This window comes from Homo sapiens, chromosome 11, assembly GCF_000001405.40.
Source record: "Homo sapiens chromosome 11, GRCh38.p14 Primary Assembly".
Lineage (NCBI taxonomy): Eukaryota > Metazoa > Chordata > Mammalia > Primates > Hominidae > Homo > Homo sapiens.
In genome coordinates, this window is record NC_000011.10 from 35,984,345 (window position 1) to 36,003,822 (window position 19,478).

The 19,478-nt window shown below is 42.3% G+C and overlaps 1 protein-coding gene and 1 pseudogene across 3 annotated transcripts in view, besides 1 other annotated feature; one reads left to right on the forward strand and one right to left on the reverse strand.

The window, feature by feature from the left end:
• LDLRAD3 (low density lipoprotein receptor class A domain containing 3) overlaps positions 1-19,478 on the forward strand; it is a 288,075-nt gene that overhangs the window by 40,283 nt on the left and 228,314 nt on the right. The gene's annotated exons all lie outside the window — the stretch shown is intronic.
• Positions 2,346-2,847: an enhancer, noted in NCBI's record as "NANOG hESC enhancer chr11:36008240-36008741 (GRCh37/hg19 assembly coordinates)". NCBI's record gives its function as "activates a minimal SCP1, AML or CMV promoter by ChIP-STARR-seq in primed H9 embryonic stem cells {active_cell/tissue: H9 hESC(primed)}" and the evidence as "EXISTENCE:reporter gene assay evidence [ECO:0000049][PMID:30033119]".
• Positions 12,804-13,422, reverse strand: RPL12P31 (ribosomal protein L12 pseudogene 31; annotated as a pseudogene).

A 19,478-nucleotide genomic window follows, 5' to 3' on the forward strand; every position in this document is an offset into this window, starting at 1 on the left:
CCCTGGTTTATAGAGAAGGGATCTGGGTCTCAGAGAGGTCAACTGATTTGTCCAAGGACAGACAGATGGAGAGCTGGGAGTCCCACAGTCTAAGCCACTTTCAGCAGCAAGTGACTTTTCAGCAAGGAAATCTTTACATCAAAGCTAATGTGTGAAACAGGTCATCTGTACCGCTTTGGTTAGATGGGAGTCGGGTGGGGTGAGCTCTTTGGTTCTGTGTCCCTTCACCAAGATTCTCACCAAGCAGGCTCTGGGGCTGCAGAGCACATTTAAACTTCATTGTTCTTTTTGTTTGTTTGTTTGTGAGATGGAGTTTCGCTCTTGTTGCCCAGGCTGGAGTGCAATGATGTGATCTTGGCTCACCGCAGCCTCCGCCTTCCGGGGTCAAGCGATTCTCCTGCCTCAGCCTCCCGAGTAGCTGGGATTACAGGCATGCATCACCACGCCTGGCTAATTTGTATTTTTAGTAGAGACGGGGTTTCTCCATGTTGGTCAGGCTGGTCTCAAACTCCTGACCTCAGGTGATCTGCCCGCCTTGGCCTCCCAAAGCACTGGGATTACAGGCGTGAGCCACCGCATCCTGCCTGTTCTTTTTTTTTTTTTTTTTTTCCCTGAGACAGGGTCCCACTATGTGCAGTGGCATGAACATAGCTCACTGCAGCCTCGAACTCCTGGGCTCAAGCGATTCTCCCACCTCAGCCTCCCAAGTAGCAGGGAACTACTCGTGCATGCCATCATGCCAGGCTCACTTTTTATTTACAGTTTTTGTAGAGATGAGCTCTTCCTTTGTTGCCCAGGCTGATCTCGAACTCCTGGCTTCACGCAATTCACTCACCTTTGTTCCCTGAAGTGCTGGGATTATGGGCATCAGCCAACATGTCAGATCCATTATTGTTCTTGACTTGGTGCTTCCTGTACCCTTCCACTGTCTGGTTCTGTGGATTCCCTATTGCATGTCTCTCTTGGAGTTAGTAAATCTCTAGCATTTTGAGCTTTTCCTTTTAGACAAGTTAGGAAATGGAGTAGACTCGGGGAGAGGATATTTTTGCAGATTCCGTAAGGTGGTCTTGCTGAGATGGTGGGACTCTCTGGCCATTGGGATGGTAGGCTGAAACTCTGCCCTGGAGCCTTTTAGTACCTGGGCTCTAGTCAGTCTCTTGGTCCCTGAGGGAGGCAAATGTGGGAGATACTTTGGTGAATTATATGGTTTGGCTGTGTCCCCACCTAAATCTCATCTTGAATTGTAGCTCCCATAATCCCTACGTGTTGTGGGAGGGATCTGGTGGGAGGTAACTGAATCACGGGGGCAGGTTTTTCCAATGCCATTCTCGTGATAGTGAATAATAAGTCTCACAAGATCTGATGGTTTTATAAAGAGCAGTTCCCCTACACAGGCTCTCTTGCCTGCCACCATGTAAGATGTGCCTTTGCTCCTCCTTCACCTTCCGCCATGACTGTGAGGCCTCCCCAGCCATGTGGAACTGTGAGTCCATTAAGCCTTTTTTTTTTTTTAAATAAATTACCCAGTCTCGGGTATGTCTTTATTAGCACCGTGAGAACAGACTAATACAGTGGAGTTCAATTTATGGTGTGTGGAAGGTGCAAAATCTAGGCTGGGTTGTGCCCAAGGAGAGGGCAGGAGACAGTACCCTGAGGCCAGTCTGGACAGATGAGTATTTGACGAGAGACTTATGTTGATGACTTTTTGTGAGAATGCTGCCGTTGTTCATGAGAGACATTCATATCCCAAGCATTTGTTGGATCCAGGAAGATCCAGATCCATCTAGGTTAGGGGCCACAAAAATAAGACAAAAATCTCTGCATAAAGGGCCATTGGGATTGCAACTGGACAGTGGCTGATTATCTCTAGGAAGAGGCTGAATTCTGAAAACATTTTGTATATGCAATGCCCCGGATTGGTTAAAGGAGAGATAATTTATTTCGTTTTATTTTTGTGTCTCTTTGATATAGAAGAAAAGAAATGTGAACAGAACTTGTACAATATATGGTAAATTCTCTCTACCAGAATATTGTTGATGTTCAGGCTCCAAGAATTAATGTGGTTTTATCTTGGAATTTAACCTGTTATTTATTGTGATATGCTTATGTAAGGACATGTGTTAGATAATGTGTTAGTCAGGGTAGGAGAGGTCTGTGCTGTGGTAACAAACTTCCTGGAAAGTTTAACACATAGAAGCCTATTTTTCACACAAAAGCCCCTGCAGATTGGATGGCAGTAGTGGGCGAGGGCTCTACCTGTCTTGGTCACTTTCTCCTGGCTGATTGAGACTCCACCGTCTGCAACATTGCCACAGCAGGAGAAGAGATTGCAGGACCTGTTGTTGCCAGCTCCTCTGTTCACCCTAAAAGTGATACATGTCCCCTTTCTGCACATTCCATTGACCCAAACTAGTCACGTGGCCCTGCCTAACCTGGGAAATGGGAGGACTGTCAGATGAGTATCACTCTCTGCCACAGATGATGCAGAGCACACCTTTTGGTAATTAGTTCATTGAATCTGAGTAAAAGCTCAGGCATGAGTAGTGTTGGGCCCATTTACTAGAGAAAATGAAGACTTGAGCTCTTCAAAGTCAAGGGCTGTATCTCTAGATCTCTCACACCGGGCTGTCTGCCTCACACTTTTCTCAGCACTCAGCAAAGGTTAGTTGAGTTGAATGAATGAGGCATTTAAAATCTGTTTGAGTATTCGTCTCATTCACGGGGCTGCTTCACTTAGAATTTTGCTAATGTAGTTGTCTGCCTAAAGAGAATATTCATGCCTCCTGTGGTGGAGGTGGGTCAAGTACCAGCTATGACACATTTGTATATCTTGTTATGACACATTTGTATATCTTGCTGGCAAGAAACTACTGAAGTCTGCATATTTTTAGGGATCATCTTTTTAAAGAATAATTTCAACTTTTGTTTTAGATACAGGGGATACCTGTGCAGGTTTGTAACATGAGGGTATTGCAAGATGCTAGGGTTTGGGGCATGATTGATCCCATCACCCAGGTAGTGAGCTTAGTACCCAATACTTAGTTTTTCAGCCCTTGCCCTGCTCCCTTCCTCCTCTGTCTAGCAGTCTCCAGTGTCTGTTGTTGCCATGTTTATGTCCATGAATACCCAATATTTAGCTCTCACTTATAAATGAGAACATACGGTATTTGGTTTTCTGTTCCTGCATGAATTCACTTAGGATAATGGCCACCAGCTGCATCCATGTTGCTGCAGAGGACAAGATTTTGTTATTTTTATGGCTGTGTATGTAGTAGTCCATGGTGTATATGTACCATATTTTCTTTATCCCATCCATTGTTGATGGGCACCTAGTTTGATTCCATGTCTTTGCTATTGTGAATGGTGCTACGTTGAACATACGAGTGCATGTGTCTTTTTGGTGGAATGATCTATTTTCTTTTATATATATACCTGGTAATGAGATTGCTGGGTCAGTCAAATGGTAATTTTGTTTTAAGCTCTTTGAGAAATCTCCAAACTGCTTTTCACAGTGGCTGAACTAGTTTACATTCCCATCAACTGTGTATAAGCGTTCCGTTTGCTCCACAGCCTCACCAGCATCTGTTGTTTTTTGACTTTTTAATAATAGTCATTCTGACGGGTATGAGATAGTATCTCATTATGGTTTTGATTTGCATTTCTCTAATGACATTTTTAAAAATATGTTTCTTGGCCACTTGTATGCCTTCTTTTTTGTTCGTTTGTTTTTTGAGACATGGTCTCACTCTGTCACCCAGGCTGGAGTGCAGTGGCATGGTCACAACTCACTGCAGTCTCAATCTCGTCGGGTCAAGCCATCCTCCCATCTTAGCCTCCCAATTAGCTGGGACTACAGGCATGCGCCACTATGCCTGCTAATTTTTAAATTATTTTTTGTAGAGATGGGGTCTCACTATGTTGCCCAGGCTGGTCTTGAACTCCTGGGCTCAAGTGATTCTCCCACCTCAACCTCCCAAAGTGCTGAGATTACAGGCATGAGCCAGTGTGCCTGGCTGTATGTCTTCTTTTGAGAAGTGGCTGTTCGTGTCTTTTGCCCACTTTTTAATGAGGTTATTTGATTTTTGCTTTTCGAATTAAGTTCCTTATGGATTCTGGATATTAGACATTTGTGGGATGCATAGTTTGTGAATATTTTCTCTCATTCTATAGGTTGTTTACTCTGTTGATAGTTTCTTTTGCTATGTAGAAGCTCCTTAGTTAAATTAGGTCCCACTTGTCAATTTTTTTTTTGTTTTTGAGTTGGAGTCTTGCTCTATCACCCAGGCTGGAGTGCAGTGGTGCGATCTTGGCCCATTGCAACCTCCACTTCCTGGGTTCAAGCGATTCTCCTGCCCCAGCCTCCCAAGTAGCTGGCTCTACAGGCACATGCCACCATGCCCTACTAATTTTTTGTATTTTTAGTAGAGTTGGGGTTTCACTGTGTTTGTCAGGATGATCTCGGTCTCCTGACCTCTTGATCTGCTCACCTCGGCCTCCCAAAGTGCTGGGATTACAGGCGTGAGTCACCATGCCTGGCCAGGTCCCACTTGTCAATTTTTGTTTTTGTTGCAGTTGCTTTTGAGGACTTAGCTATAAATTCTTTGCCAAGACTGATGTCCAGAATAGTATTTCCTACGTTTTCTTCTGGGAGTCTTATAGTTTGTGGTCTTATATTTAAATCTCTATCTTGAGTTAATTTTTGTATATAGTGAAAGATGGGTGTTCAATTTCATTCTTCTGCTTATAGCTAGCCAGATATCCCAGCACCGTTTACTGAATAGGAAGTCCTTTCCCCATTGTTTATTTTTGTCGACTTTGTAAAAGATCAGATGGCTGTAGGTGTGCAGGTTTATTTCTGGGTTCTCTCTTCTGTTCCATTGGTTTATGTGTCTGTCTTTGTACCATTACCATGCTGTTTTGGTTCGTGTAGCCCTATAGTATAGTTTGAAGTCCAGTAATGTGATGCCTGCACCTTTGTTCTTTTTGCTTAGGATTGCTCTGGCTCTTTGGGCTCTTTTTTGGTTCCATATGAATTTTAGAATTACTTTTCTCTAATTCTGTGGGAAATGACATTGGTAGTTTGATAGGATTAGCATTGAATCTGTAGATTGCTTTCGGCAGTATGGCCATTTTAACAATGTTGATTATTCTAATCCATGAGCATGGAAGGTTTTGTTTGTTTGTTTGTGTCTATGATATCTTTCAGCAGTGTTTTGTAATTCTCCTTATAGAGATCTTTCACCTGCTTAGTTATATGTATTCCTAACCAAGGAATATATCTTGGTTAGGTATGTATTTTATTTGTTAATTTTTTGTGGCTATTATAAATGGGATTGTGTTCTTGATTTGACTCTCAGCTAGAATGTTATTGGTGGGTAGAAATGCTACTGATTTTTGTACATTGATTTTGTATCCCAAAACTTTACTGAAGTTGTTTATCAGTTCTGGGAGCCTTTTGTTGGAGTCTTTAGGGTTCTCTAGGTATAGAATCATATTGTCAGTGAAGAGAGATGGCTTGACATCTTCTTTTCCTATTTGGATGCCCTTCCTTTCTTTCTCTTGCCTGATTGCTCTGCTAAGACTTCCAGGGATCATCTGAAAACCTCATAGGAAAACCACTCTACAGACACAATGGCAATATTTGGTGCCTCTTAGCTAGTAGTTTGGGCTTGGGGTTTACTTAGAGTTATACAGCCTAGGGGCCTGATTCCTCCATTTGTTCTCTATGTGATTTTGACATTATGTTGAGTCTCAGTTTTTCCATCACCTATAAAGGCATGGGGGGTGGTTTGAAAATGCCCAGCTCTCAGGGTTGCCGTAAGGATTTTATTTATAGTAATGTTAGTTCCCTAAGGCTGTTGTAACAAATTCTTACCAACTGGGTGGTTTAAAACAGTGGACACTTTACTCTCTCACAGTTGTGGAGAGAGAAGTTTGAATCAAGGTGTTTGTAGGGCTGGTTCCATCTGGAGGCTCTGAGGGAGAATCTACTCCATGCTTCTCTCTTAGATTCTGGTGGTCACCAGGAATCTGTGGCATTCCTTGGCTGGCAGCTGCATAACTTCAATCTCTGCCTCCATCTTTTTTTTTTGAGATGGAATCTCGCTCTGTCACCCAGGCTGGAGTTCAGTGGCGTGATCTCAGCTAACTGCCACCTCTGTCTCCTGGGTTCAAGTGATTCTCCTGCCTCAGCTTCCTGAGTAGCTAGGATTACAGGTGCATGCCAGCTAATTTTTGTATTTTTTTTTTTTAGTAGAGATGGGGTTTTGCCATGTTGCCCAGGCTGGTCTCGAACTCCTGGCCTCAAATGATCTGCCTGCCTCGGCCTCCCAAAGTGCTGGGATTACAGGTGTAAGCCACCGTGCCTGGCCTCTGCCTCCATCTTCACATGGTATTCTTCCCTGTCTGTGTCCAAATTTCCCTCTTGTTATAAGGATACCACTCATTGCATTAGAACTCACCTTGATCCAGTGTGACCTCTTCTTAAACTTTATATATGCAAAGACTCTTTTTCCAATTGAGGTCACATTCAGAGGTATTGGAGGTTAGGCTTTGAACATATCTTTTTGGGAGACTCAGTGCTAACCTCAGTAACATGGCAAAGTCCTAACACAGTATCCACACATAGGTGGCCTTCAGTAAATAATAGTTTCCATTGTTCTGCTGTTGTAGAGTGTTTGGCAGTGCCTATATGGAACTTTCTAACTGAATTCTGCGGTCTTTTCAGACCTTGGAGGCTATCGTATCAATAAAACCAGAGCATTTTCTGTTGTTTGGTAATGCACAGCTTCTGTTTGCAGCATGATGCTCTTCTAGGTTGCGTATAAGAGCCCCCATGCATCTCAATTACAGAATATGTTAGGCATTTGGATTTTGTCTAACTTAGCCTAGTACTGTTGTGGGTTCCTTCGGGCACTTTTGTCTTGCTTAACAATGCAAACTAGAAACTGCACACAAATGGTTACCCAAAATGAGTCCTGTTATTATTGCTTCTTTTACCCCTGGGGCCCCAAACTGCAGAAGGCTTATTCACTGCAAGACTCTAAATGTCTTACCTCCATATATTACATTCCGTATTATGCCGGAACATGGTGAAATTAATTGCGGCCAGCCAGGGAAGACAGAAAAAAACCTATAATGGTTTATCATATTTTTTAGGCTTTGTGAGGGCCATAAATTTAAGGCATATAGGAATTGTATTTATTCCTTAGATTTCACAAATTTGTCATGTTCCTTTTCTCCAATGGCGACAGCTTCTTCCAACAACTGGGTCTCTGTTGCTGAAGTAGAAAATAGAAAAGGGAGTGGGCACGGGGATGTTCCTAGTGTCACAGATCTCTGCAGAGCTCTCCCTCGTAAGCTTCTTTGGTTACATGGCTGTTAATAGCTAAATTATTAATGCAGGTTTGCTGGTGGAGGGAGCTGCTTTTGACCATTGCCTCTCTTCTTACATCAGCTTTTCGATAGCTACAATTGTAGGAGTCACATTGCATGCAGAGCAGTTCATAAATTGAATGGTTGTTTGTGTGTGTGTGTGTGTGTGTGTGTGTGTGTGTGTGTAGCAGGGGAGGCTCAGAGTTTTGGCCTCTGGCTGTATGGCTGTATGCTTGTGAGTATCCTTTGTCTGAAACCTGATGATGCAGGAATTTACATCTTGGAATGGGAGTTGGTTTAAACAAGGAAATTTATTCATCACTGAATTCTCCTGAGAGTTCAGCAGCTCCTGTGAGCATGGAAGTGCCCCCGTCTCAATCTTTTTGGACAATGAAGATGCATATTCCAAAGGTTAGATTTCTCTGAAATGACTGGTTTTTCAAGATAGTAGGAAAGCAGTATTGGCCACAGAGATCCAGGTGGCTGCATGAACAAGAATGCAACCTTGATTTTATGGTCTTTATTTCGTTTTCCAAAGTCAAGGTCCATGAGTTGATTAAAAATATCACAAAGTGATTTAACTATTCCTCAGTAATCTTGTAGCCTATTGCCATCAAACTTTGTTGACAGTGACTTATGGAAACACATTGGTATGTCCACACACAAATTTGTGTGCTGGTGGTTCATAGCAGCATTCATAATAGCCTGAAAGTGGCAACAACCCACATGTTCCCCAGTGGATGAATGGATAAATAAAATGTAGTGTATCTATACAATGGGATATTATTCAGCCATACAAAGGAACAAAGTTCTGATACATGCTACAGTATGATTGAACCTTGGAAATATTATGCTAAATGAAAAGAAGCCAGTTACAAAAGACCACATATTGTATCATTCAATTTATAGGAAATGTCCAGAATAGGCAAATACATGGAGATAGAAAGTAGATAGGTGGTTGCCTAGGGCTGAGTGGGGGTTTGGGAGGAAATAGGGCATGGCTGCTAATGGGCATGGGGTTTCCTTTTGGGGTGATGAAATGTTCTAAAATTGATTGTGGTGATGGTTGCACAACTCTGCATATACCAAAAGCCATAGCATTGTATACTTTCAATGGGTAAATTGTATAGTGTGTGAGTTTTATCTCTTAGTCATGCTGTTAAAGATCACATTTACATTGCAAACAAGAACATTTATATAAAGGTGAATCAAAACATACCCTTCATATCTGATATATTCTAATTTATTCCAGTCTTTTCCATTTTTTTCTTTAAAAGTGTCTGGACATGAGCCATGATACTGAATCCATAATCCACACTTTTATGGATTCCTTTCCATTTTACAGATTTAAAAAATGGCGTCCCAGTGCTTAAGAAGTGAGTACAGGGTTACACAATTTATAAATGACTGAGTTGAGACTTCAGACTGGGTCTTTCTTCTGACTCCCATTTCACTGTGCTAGCTAAGAGGTTGGGTAGTGTTTAAAAACAAGTTAAAAGATTGAGCAAATTTGGGGGTAAACAAAAAAGTACCAGCAAGGAATAGCCTCCTTATAAATACCTTCACCTATAGTGTGAATTGCTTAGGGAAGCTCAGGGCACAGAGAAGGGCTGGCTGCACATTTTTGCATTGAGCATAGTGTCTGACACCCTGTGCATTGCCCTGGCTGAGCGAGGAGGCTCCATTTGTTTATTTTTCAAGCATAGATGCTATTTTCTCAGGACTGTAGAGTAAAAACATTAGAAATTTCTAGCTGCCTGCCACTTAGGGCTTGCTGGCTTCTAGCCCTTCTGCTGAAAGTCAAATTTAAGATAGGGGATCATAGAAAATGAAGAAAAGACATACAAGTCATTAGGGAGAAAAGAGGAGCTGGTGTTCTCTTGCAGCTCTGGAATCAGTATCAGATAATTGTGCCCTGACTGCGCAGTCCTGGCCAGAGATACAAAAAAAAAAAAAAAAAGAATTTTTACTGGAGTAAATGAGGAGTAGGGAGTGAGGTACCAGAAAAGTCTTGGGTTAGCCCAGATGAGTGGTATATTTTTAATAGGGAGAGGATTCATGAGCTGATTCAGACGTGTGGCCCCTTCCAGTGTCTGTGAGAGGCCATTTCATAAGCAGGTCTGTTTTTTTTCCACCAAGTTTTGCTTAAGATTTGGAAAGAACACTCTACCTCCTTAGTTAATTATGTGCATAAATATTTGCTTCTCCAGGAAGGACGTTTTCCCACGTTATTTTAAAGGACTCACATAGATTTAAAGGTTTTCTTTTCTCCCACCCCTAAGGAATTCAGTGTTGGTAAATGGTGCCCATCTCAGGAACAGAGAAGCTTCTGATTAGTTAGGAGTCCAGCTGTGGATATAGGAGCAGAGATGGGAGGAAGAACAGTCCTGTACTTCAGCAGGGTTCCGGGAGCCTACCATACCTCAGAGATACCATGGGTTCAGTTCCAGACCACCACAATAAAGTGAGTCACATGAACTTTTTGGTTTCCTAGTATATATAAAAGTGATCAGGAGGCTGAGGCAGGAGAATGGCATGAACCCAGGAGGCAGAGCTTGCAGTGAGCCGAGATAGTGCCACTGCACTCCAGCCTGGGGGACAGAGAGAGACTTTGTCTCAAAAAAAAAAAAAAAAAAAAAAAAAAAAAGTGATGTTTACACTATATTGTAGTCTATTAAGTGTACAATAGCATTATATCTAAAAAAAAGTATATACCTTAATTAAAAATACTTTATTGCTAGAAAGTGCTAATGAACATCTAGCCTTCAGTCAGTTTTAATGTTTTTTGTTGGTATAGGATCTTGCCTCAGTGTTGATGGTTGCTGACTGATCAGTGTAGTGGTTGCTGAAGGTTGGGGTGGCTGTGGCATTTTCTTAAAATAAGATTACAATGAAGTTTACCACATCAATGGACTCTTCCTTTCATGAAAGACTTCTCTGTAGCACGCAATGCCTGTTTTATAGCACTTTATGCGCAGAACAACTTCTTTCAAAATTGGAGTCAGTCTTCTCAAACCCTGCCACTGCTTTGCCAGCTGTTTATGGAATATTCTAAATCCTTGTCATTTCAACAGTGTTCATAGCATCTCCATCAGGACTAGATTCCATCTCAAGAAGCCACTTTGTTTGCTCATCTGTAAGAAGCAGCTCCTCATCCATTAAATTTGTTCCTGAGATTGCATCAATTCAGTCACATCTTTAGGCTCCACTTCTAATTCTAGTTCTTTTGCTCTTTCCACTACATCTGCAGTTACTCCCCTGACTGAAGTCTTGAACACCTAAAAGTCATTTGTGAGGGTTGGAATCAGTTTCCTCCAAACTCCTGTTGATGTTGATATTTTGACCTCCCACGAATCACAGATGTTCTTAATGTCATCTGAAATGGTGAATCCTTTCCAGAAGGTTTTGAATTTACTTGGCCCATATCCATCAAAGGAATCAGTATCAATGGCAGATATAGCCTTAAAAATGTATTTCCTAAATAAGACTTGAAAGTTGGAATGACTCTTTGATCCCTGGGCTGCAGAATGGATGTTGTGTTAGCAGGCATTAAAAATCATTAATCTTCTTGAATGTCTCCAACAGAGCTTGTGGGTAACCAGATGCATTGCTACTGAGCAGTAATATTTTGAAAGGAATCTTTTCCTGAGCAGTAGGTCTCAACAGTGTGCTTAAAATATTCAGTAAACCATGCTATAAACAGATGCACTGTCATCCAGGCTTTGTTGTTCCATTTACAGAGTGCAGGCAGGTTAGAGTTAGCATAATTTTTAAAGGCTCCAGGATTTTCAGAAAAGTAAATGAGTATTCACTTCAGCTTGAAGTCACCAGCTGCATTAGCTCTTAACAAGACAGTTAGCCTGTCCTGTGAAATTTGAAGCCAGGCATTGACTTATTCTGTCTAGATATGAAAGTCCTGGATGGCATCTTCTTCCAAAAGAAGGCTGTTCCATCTACATTGAAAATCTGTTTTTAGTGTAGCCACTGTTATCAGTGATCTTAGCTATCTAGATCTTTTGGATAACTTGCTGCAGCTTCTACATCAGTATTTGCTGCTTCATCTTGTATTTTTATATTACAGAGATGGCTGCCTTCCACAAACCTCATGAACCAATCTCTGCTAGCTTTAAACTTTCCTTCTGCAGCTTTCTCACCTCGTTAGCATTCTAGAATTGAAGAGTTAGAGCCTTGCCCTGGATTAGGCTGTGGCTTAAGGGAATGCTATGGCTGGTTTGATTTTTCTCTCCAGACCGCTAAAACTTCCTCCATATCAGCAATAAGGCTGTTTTGCTTTCTTATCATTTGTGTGTTCATTGGAGTAACACTTTTAATTTCCTTTAAGAACTTTTCCTTTGCATTCATAATTTGGCTAAGTGTTTGGCCCAAGAGGCCTGGCTTTCTTCCTGTCTTGGCTTTCGACATGCCTTCCTCACTAAGCTTAACCATTTCTAGCTTTTGATTTAAAGTGAGAGATGTACAACGCTTTCTTCCTCTTGAACACTTAGAGGCCATGGTAGGATTATTAACTGGCCTAATTCCATTATTGTTGCGTCTCAAGGAATAGGGAGGCCCGAGGAGAGGTAAAGAAATTGGGGAACGGCCTGATGGTGGGGTAGTAAGAGCTCATGTATTTATTGATGAAGTTGTTGTCTTATATGGGTGTGGTTTGAGGTGCCCCAAAATGTTTGCAATGATAACATCAAAGATCACTGATCACAGGTCACCAGAACAGATATAATAATAATAAAAAAGTTTGAGATATTATGAGAATTCCCAAAATGTGATACAAACACATGAAGTGGCACACGAGGTTGGAAAAATAGTGCTGGTAGACTTACTGCGTTCAGGATTGCCATAGACCTTCAGTTTGTGAAAAATATAATACTTATGAAGCTCAATAAAGTGAAGCACAGCAAAATGAGATTTGCCTGCACAGTTTCTATATCGAGTGGAGGTCTGTTCTTTAGATCAATAATTGATGTTCTCACCTGATTGAGAGGGCCAGGAGCAAGGACCATGATGAAGGGAATCAAAGCCACAAATATAAATCATAATGAGTAAAACAATAACAGTTAACTGTTTTTGGTTAAATGTGCCAGCCCCTGTGCACAGTGTGGGTTGTCTCATCCAAATTCTTCCAACATCTCAGTACAGTAGGTACGATATTGCCAAACTTTGGCAGACCTGGTTCAAGTCTGGACTCCTCCATGCAGCTTTGGGAATGGGTTAACCATGTACCTTTGGGAATATAGTGTCTGCCTTTCTAAGCCTTAGTTTCTCATGTCAAACAAGGACAGTGATGTCCTTGCCTCATGGAATGATGGATGGCTGAAAATAAAGTAATACACATACAGCACTTGGCATACAAAATGGGCCATAAAATGATGGCTATTTTTATGATTAGGTGGAAACTTTTGTTTCTTTTTTTTAGTTGTCAAATGATCCTTTATTGAAATGTTTTCCTTTGTGCTTCTTAACTAGCTGGGGATTCTACCTGCACCACTGTTGATGTCATGAAGTGGCAGCCATCAGCATTGCAGCTCACAGACTGGGCAGTTCCCAGGATCTCTTTAGTGGTTTCAGAGAGTTCTCTGGCTAAAGATCAGTGCCACATCTGTGAAGCAATGTTGACAATCTCATCAAAAGTGATATTTCCATTGTGTTTAATGTTTTTCTGTTTCTTTCCATCTCTTTGTGGTTCCTTGAGGGCTTTGCAGAAACCCTTCTGGCAGTGGCAGATGGTACCACCTCACTCTGGGTCTGTTCTGAATGGTCAGTTTCACTATAATCCTTAGACCCTTCCAGTCACCGGTTGCCTTGGCAGTGTCATCACCAACCTTTTTTGCAGACATACCCAGAGGGCCAATCTTGGGGGCCAGCACAGACATGGCATCAACTTTATCCAAGGTACACCTCAGGTATACGACTTTGATCTTGTTGGGGTTGAACTTCAGTGGTGTGCTGGAGGCAGCTGGTGTCAGATGAACCTGGATTCAGGATGACCCAATAAAGTTGCACCTTGGCCTCCTCCAAGCCGAAAGCCAAAAGTGGAGACTATTCTTATTCCTATTTTACAGATCAGGAAAGTGAGGCTTAACTAGATTATGAATTCAAGGGTCACAGCTGCAAAGTGGTGGGGCTGGGACTGGAGTTCAGGTCTGTCGGACTCTGGCCTCCTGTCTTTTCGCTGTCATCTGATAATTGGCTGAAGATGTCGGGTTTCTAGAAGAGGCTGTGGCGAGGGCACTGGGCCTTTGCTGCCTTTTCAGATTGGACGGTCTTCTCTAGAAGGGAGTTGACTCAGCCAGGTGGCAGCCAGGGACAGGGTCAGGGCGTTCACTGGAGGAGGGTGCTTGCACCACCTGTTAACATGGGACTCCCCCAGGTGTTGTCTTTCATTTCCTTTTTCTCTAACCCTGGGATTACTGAGGCTGAGGAGGTGTTTACCACCTCCTTTTTAAAGGGGGAACTCTGAGCTGATTTTTGGTAGTGCAAATTTCCTAGTCATATGCTTTCAATATGTGTTTGTTTTTTGTTCTTGTTGTCTGTCAGAGATTATCATCTGTTGTGGCAGAGAAAGGCATTTTTCCTCCTCCCTCTTCTCTGATGCTTGCAAACGCTCCTAGTGGCCAATGAACATTGGATGCACCCATGAAGTAGAATCCACACATTTAATTCTAGATTGATTCTCTGAGGCCTTCCCTGCCAGGCTCCTTTCAGCCAAGCATATTCACCCTTTGTCAGGCTTGTGTGCTCAGCTATGTGAAATGCTCAGAGCCTGTTGGGCAGGCTGATCTAAACAAACAAACAAACAATCAAACAACAAAACAAAAAACAGTCCTAGAATGAACCTCTGGAGAGGAGTATCCTGGATTCACTTGGAAAATATCCTCTGTGGTTCCAGGGAGGTCAAAGATGTGAGCCCAGGGGTCTGTGGTTTATGAAGGTTGCAGATCTCTAATTAGGGTCTTGGTCTGATGGCTCCAGGAATCCTCTGGATTCGGAGTAGTAATAGTAATAGCACTTTAAAGTAGGCTCATTACTAGAGCGGTTATTGCTTTTGTTCGAAATGGCCCATCTAAGTCAGGCCCTATTAAATAGAGCAATTTAACTGACACTTAGCGTCTTTAGGGAGATAAATTATCCTTTGGCCTGGTCACCTCCACTTTGAAATTTGATCATTGGTATGAGTCCTGGGAGAGTCGTTCAGGCAGATGCATTTGTTCATGTAAGCCCACATTTCAGTCATTCGTTCAGGACACATTTAATGAGGGCCAACTCTATACCTGACACTGTGTAAAGCCCTGGATGTGTGATAACAATGAAGAGGACATGGGCTCTGCTTTTAAGGAGCTCACAGCTTTTATTCAGTCACGAAACATCGATTGGGCACCTACTGTGTGCAAAAAGCCCTGTGCTTGGTATTGCACGGGAGACAGGTTAGTGGCAGAATGTGTGTGTTCATGGGGCCTTTATGATCTGTGTAGAGAACAGACTTACAATCAGTTAACTGGGTGCAGCCTAGAACCGAATGTATGTTATAAAAGAGGTGCAGGAAAGTGCTGCGACCCTGAGGATGCAGAGGTTCCTTCAGTTGGTTGGACTGGAGTAGCCTCATGGTAGTGGTGGCATTACTGATCCTTGAAGAATGTCCTCTCTGTTGAGAGTCAGCCAGATTACCCGGAGAAACGGCGTTTAAAGCAGGACTGCTCCAGGGGCCTGGCTGCAGCCACAAGCCTCTCCAGAACCGAGCCTGCCCCTCCTCATCTCTCCTGCTGCCTGCAGATTCACTCCTTCTTGGTGTTCTTGGCTTCTCATTGGAGGCGGCTGCGTTCTCATCCTACCCACTACTTTCTCCAGGCTTCATGTCCACGACCTGCCCAATCCCAAGTCTCCCTCACGCTCTTCCATTCAGCTCCTTTGGCTAACCCAAAGTGCACTAATTCTGAAGACCCAAAGGGAGGGGTGTATCACCTCTTTGTCTTTTCTGGAGCTCCACGTGTGTCACTGGCCTCCTGGAAATCTCCTGTTGGATCAAAGGCCCCCTGTGGTGCTGTCAGCCATGGCAGGGTCCTCCCCAAGGGATGATGGTGACCTACTCATGAGGGCCCCAGGCCTAGTAATATCCAGGCAGGGTGATCCTTGCATCCTGTGGATGCAACATTATTGCTCAGAGAAGGTCTCTGCCTGTGCCCATGGAGACATTTACAAGGATGCTCATTGCAGGTCTGTCTGCAGTGGTAAACATTGGAAATGGCCTCATTATCCATCTCAGGGGACTGGGTAAATAAATTACGGTACTACTATGAAGTGGAATGCTATCCAGCAACGAAAATGAATAGGCTAGATCCTCACACATCGATGCAGATAAATCTCTAAGGAGACTTTAGAGTAGGTAAAAGGAAGGATCTATATGGTATAATGCCACTTGAGTTTATTTTAAAAGCACACAAAACTCTGTGTATGTGTGTATGTACATATTATATAGCATATATTTTTGTATATATGTGTAATATATGTATACATGCTATATACTATATAGTGTAATATATGTATATATAATATATAACATATATAATATAAATACACACCATGTATAGTGTTTTATGTCTGTACACACATACACACACAGTTGAAATGTATGTGGTAAAAGTAGAAAATGAGTTGTAAAGCAGATACACACTGGGATTGTGGTTAAAATGGGAAAGGAACAAAGAGAAAGGAAGATGGGTGAGAGGGTCTTTTCAACCATCCATCTCAGTAATATTTTATTACTTAAAAAAGATAGGAAATGATGGCAGAATACTAAAATTTATGAATTTGGGGTCTGGTTCCATGAGCATTTATTATGTTAACTATATTTCTTTATATGTGTGAAATATTTAATGCTGTTAAACGGTATGTCTAGAGAATGGGAGGTTGTTTGGGGTGTCTGGAACTTAGTTTGTTGGGAGGAAATATCCTGGATGATGAAAGTAGGAAGGCAGGTGGAACCTTGGTCATGCAGGCCATGAGTCTTCAAGCTGGGGCGCGTGACATGGAGATGGTGACATGACCCATCCTCGGTGTGGGAAGGGCTGGAGAGGGAAGGAGCTTGGGGGCCAGGAGGCTGGATAGGAGGCTGCTGTAGTGGTTCCAGCAGAGTGGGTTGAGAGCCAGAGGTGGGCGGGTAGGGGATGCTTCAGAGGGTCCCCAGGGAAGCAGAGACACGTGGGAAGGATGGGAAATGTGTGGTTAGATTCTGCAGGAGTCCCTAGCACTGAGTCCTTCACACTCAAGGAGTGTTGGCTGTTGAAGTGGTAGAACTGGTTTACCCATACCTTGAGGGTTGTGTGTTCTCTCTATTCAGTGGTACTTTCTTTCGCAGGAAAGTGCCTGGAAAAATAGATGACAGCCAGAAAGAGAGCTTGGAGAAAAAAATGACTCCAAGGAGAAGGTGGTCATTTCCTAGAGTCTGGCTTGTCAGTTGTAAGTCTGTATTCTGTTTTTGTTTTTATTATACTTTTAAGTTTTAGGGTACATGTGCACAACGTGCAGGTTAGTTACATATGTATACATGTGCCATGTTGGTGTGCCGCACCCATTAACTCGTCATTTAACATTAGGTATATCTCCTAATGCTATCCCTCCCCGCTCCCCCAAGTCTGTGTTCTTGATATGTAAAATATCTATTATATTTCCAAAGTACAAACTAGGATGACACTTATTACAGAAAGATTCTGTAGAGGAATTCTTTATTGAGCTCCATGTATGTTTACCTGAGTAGTTTCTTTATAAAAAAATCTTTTAATCTAATAATTTGGGTGAAATGGTTGCTTCAGAATCAAAGCTCAACCTACTTTGACTTACTGTTTGGCAGTTTGTTTCTGTGGTGGTCTTTAACCTCCCCTACAATCGTAAAAAATAAAAAAGGGCTTTTGTTGCTGTTTTTATTGTTCTTTGTTTTAGAAAATACAGTTGGAAAGAAGAAAATAAAAATCACCAGTAATCCTATCATTCAGAAAATGTTGGCATAGTATTCTTTCAGTTATATTGTATACGTGTGTGTGTGTGTGTGTGTGTGTGTGTGTGTGTGCACATAATTTGTAACGTTCTTTTTAAATTTTATATACAGCGGACATTTTTCTATTCATTAAAAGCATTTCTAACTTGGTTTTCACTCAGACTTTTTTACCCCAACTCTTTTGGTTAGTATAGTTTTAAAATTATTAGCTTTATTTTTTGTCGTTTATGTTGTTGAAAACAATAGGCTTTTAGGTTACTTGAGACCCAGTGAGCAGCTCTGTTCTAATATTAATTAACATTTACAAAACACAAAGGGCCCCTTTTGCTGGGGCTCCTCGTCTAGGGGGGTTGCTTTCGCATTTCTTCTAAACCAGTTTTAATTGCTGTATTGAATTGAATCCAGTAGATGTTCCATAAGTTATTTAACTACTCCCTGCTTTTGGGCTTTGTGTTGTTTCCAGGTTTTTGTTGTTACAAACATCACTGTGAATGACAGGTTTGTAGCTATTACTAGCATACACTTAACAGTCATTCCTGTTGATCAGAAAAATCCCCAGAAATTCCACATCCCTTTGTTCCTCCAGAGTTGAATGGCTTGCAGCAGAGACAGCTGCCTGGCACTGGCCCCGTAGGTCAGGAGCCTGGAGCTCACTGCTTTGTGCATGTGTTGTCACTCCTTCCTGTGTCGTCCTCATCATCCCTTCAACGACTAGAGTCAGAGCTGGTGTTGCATGATTCTGTTCCTGTGACTGTCCTGCCTGGAGAGGAGCACGTGCGATCATCTCAAAGGCCCCATTGATACCCTCAGCTAACATCATCTCCCGGTGCTTTTTCTAACTCTGGCTTATCTTACCAGCCACCCAGGGTCACACTAGGTCTTCATCAGGCCCGTCCTGGACTGGGGAGGGTCCACTGGAACCTCACTTGGCTTTAGGACAGTGAGTGTCATCGAACTGGACAAGGTCAGAGGAAGTCAGAAATGTTATTCCTGATAAATAGCTTGCAAAAATGATTTTAGCCTGGCTTGCTTCACTGGAGAAGGGCCCCTTTGGCACACCTACCACATTGCTTCCCACTTTCCAGTAGAAAAGAATTAGAGATGGACTGCCTAAATAATAAGGTGGCATTTATGCCATAGAAGCTCACAGGCATCCTACAAATGGAATATGTAAGAACAGCTATTTCCCGTACAACAGTGCCCATTTTATCCCTTAGCTTTCTGGCATATAGAGTAACCTTGCATGTGTTATTACGTTATCATCACATTTTGTTAGGGAAAACCGTACACATTTCCAATTAAGACAAAGAATGTGCAATTTCCTGAAGTCAGGATTGAGGTCATAACTTTGAGTGCTCAAGAATTCCAAGTTTAATTAAGCCACCAAATGCTGTTGATAAAGAGAAAATGCCCTATCAATATCAGAGGTGATGAGAGGGTGATCTGGCTGTGACAGGTCACTCTTCTAATGGCCAAGCCTGATCTTACCTGGCCTGGCTGGTGCAGGAAGTATCTCCTATTAGAGTGAGTGTGTGTCACATCTGGAAGCTGCCAGGTTCTGTTCTAATACCCTTTTCTGTTTCAGTAGAGACTACACACAGATTTTGCCACTGTGAATGGGGTGTGTTGCTTTTCTTCCATATTAACTGTATTTTCTCAGCCTTTCCTGTTGAAGCCTGAGTCCTTTCAGTCAGGAGGCCTGTGAGCTTCCAAGCTGAGTGGACTTGGAGGGAAAGTGAGAGAATGTTGATAGGGTCTTACAGCAAAAATGAGCCCTGTGACATCCTGTCTCTTGGAAGGGTTGGAATGCTTTTGTCCCTGTTCTAAAGAGTCACTCTCCAGGGACGGAGCATCATGTTAGTTCAGCTTAGATTACATGATCTCCCTTTGGCTAGAAAGGGTAGAACCTCTGCCTATGGTCCTACTACATTATAGCCACTGAGAAAGTGATAATTCAAATAAAGTAGAAGGAGAATGGATGTTGTATTAGTCCGTTTTCACATTGCTATAAAGAACCACCTGAGCCTGGGTAATTTATGAAGAAAAGAGGTTTAGTTGACTCACAGTTCCATAGGTTTAACAGAAAGCATGGCTGGGAGGC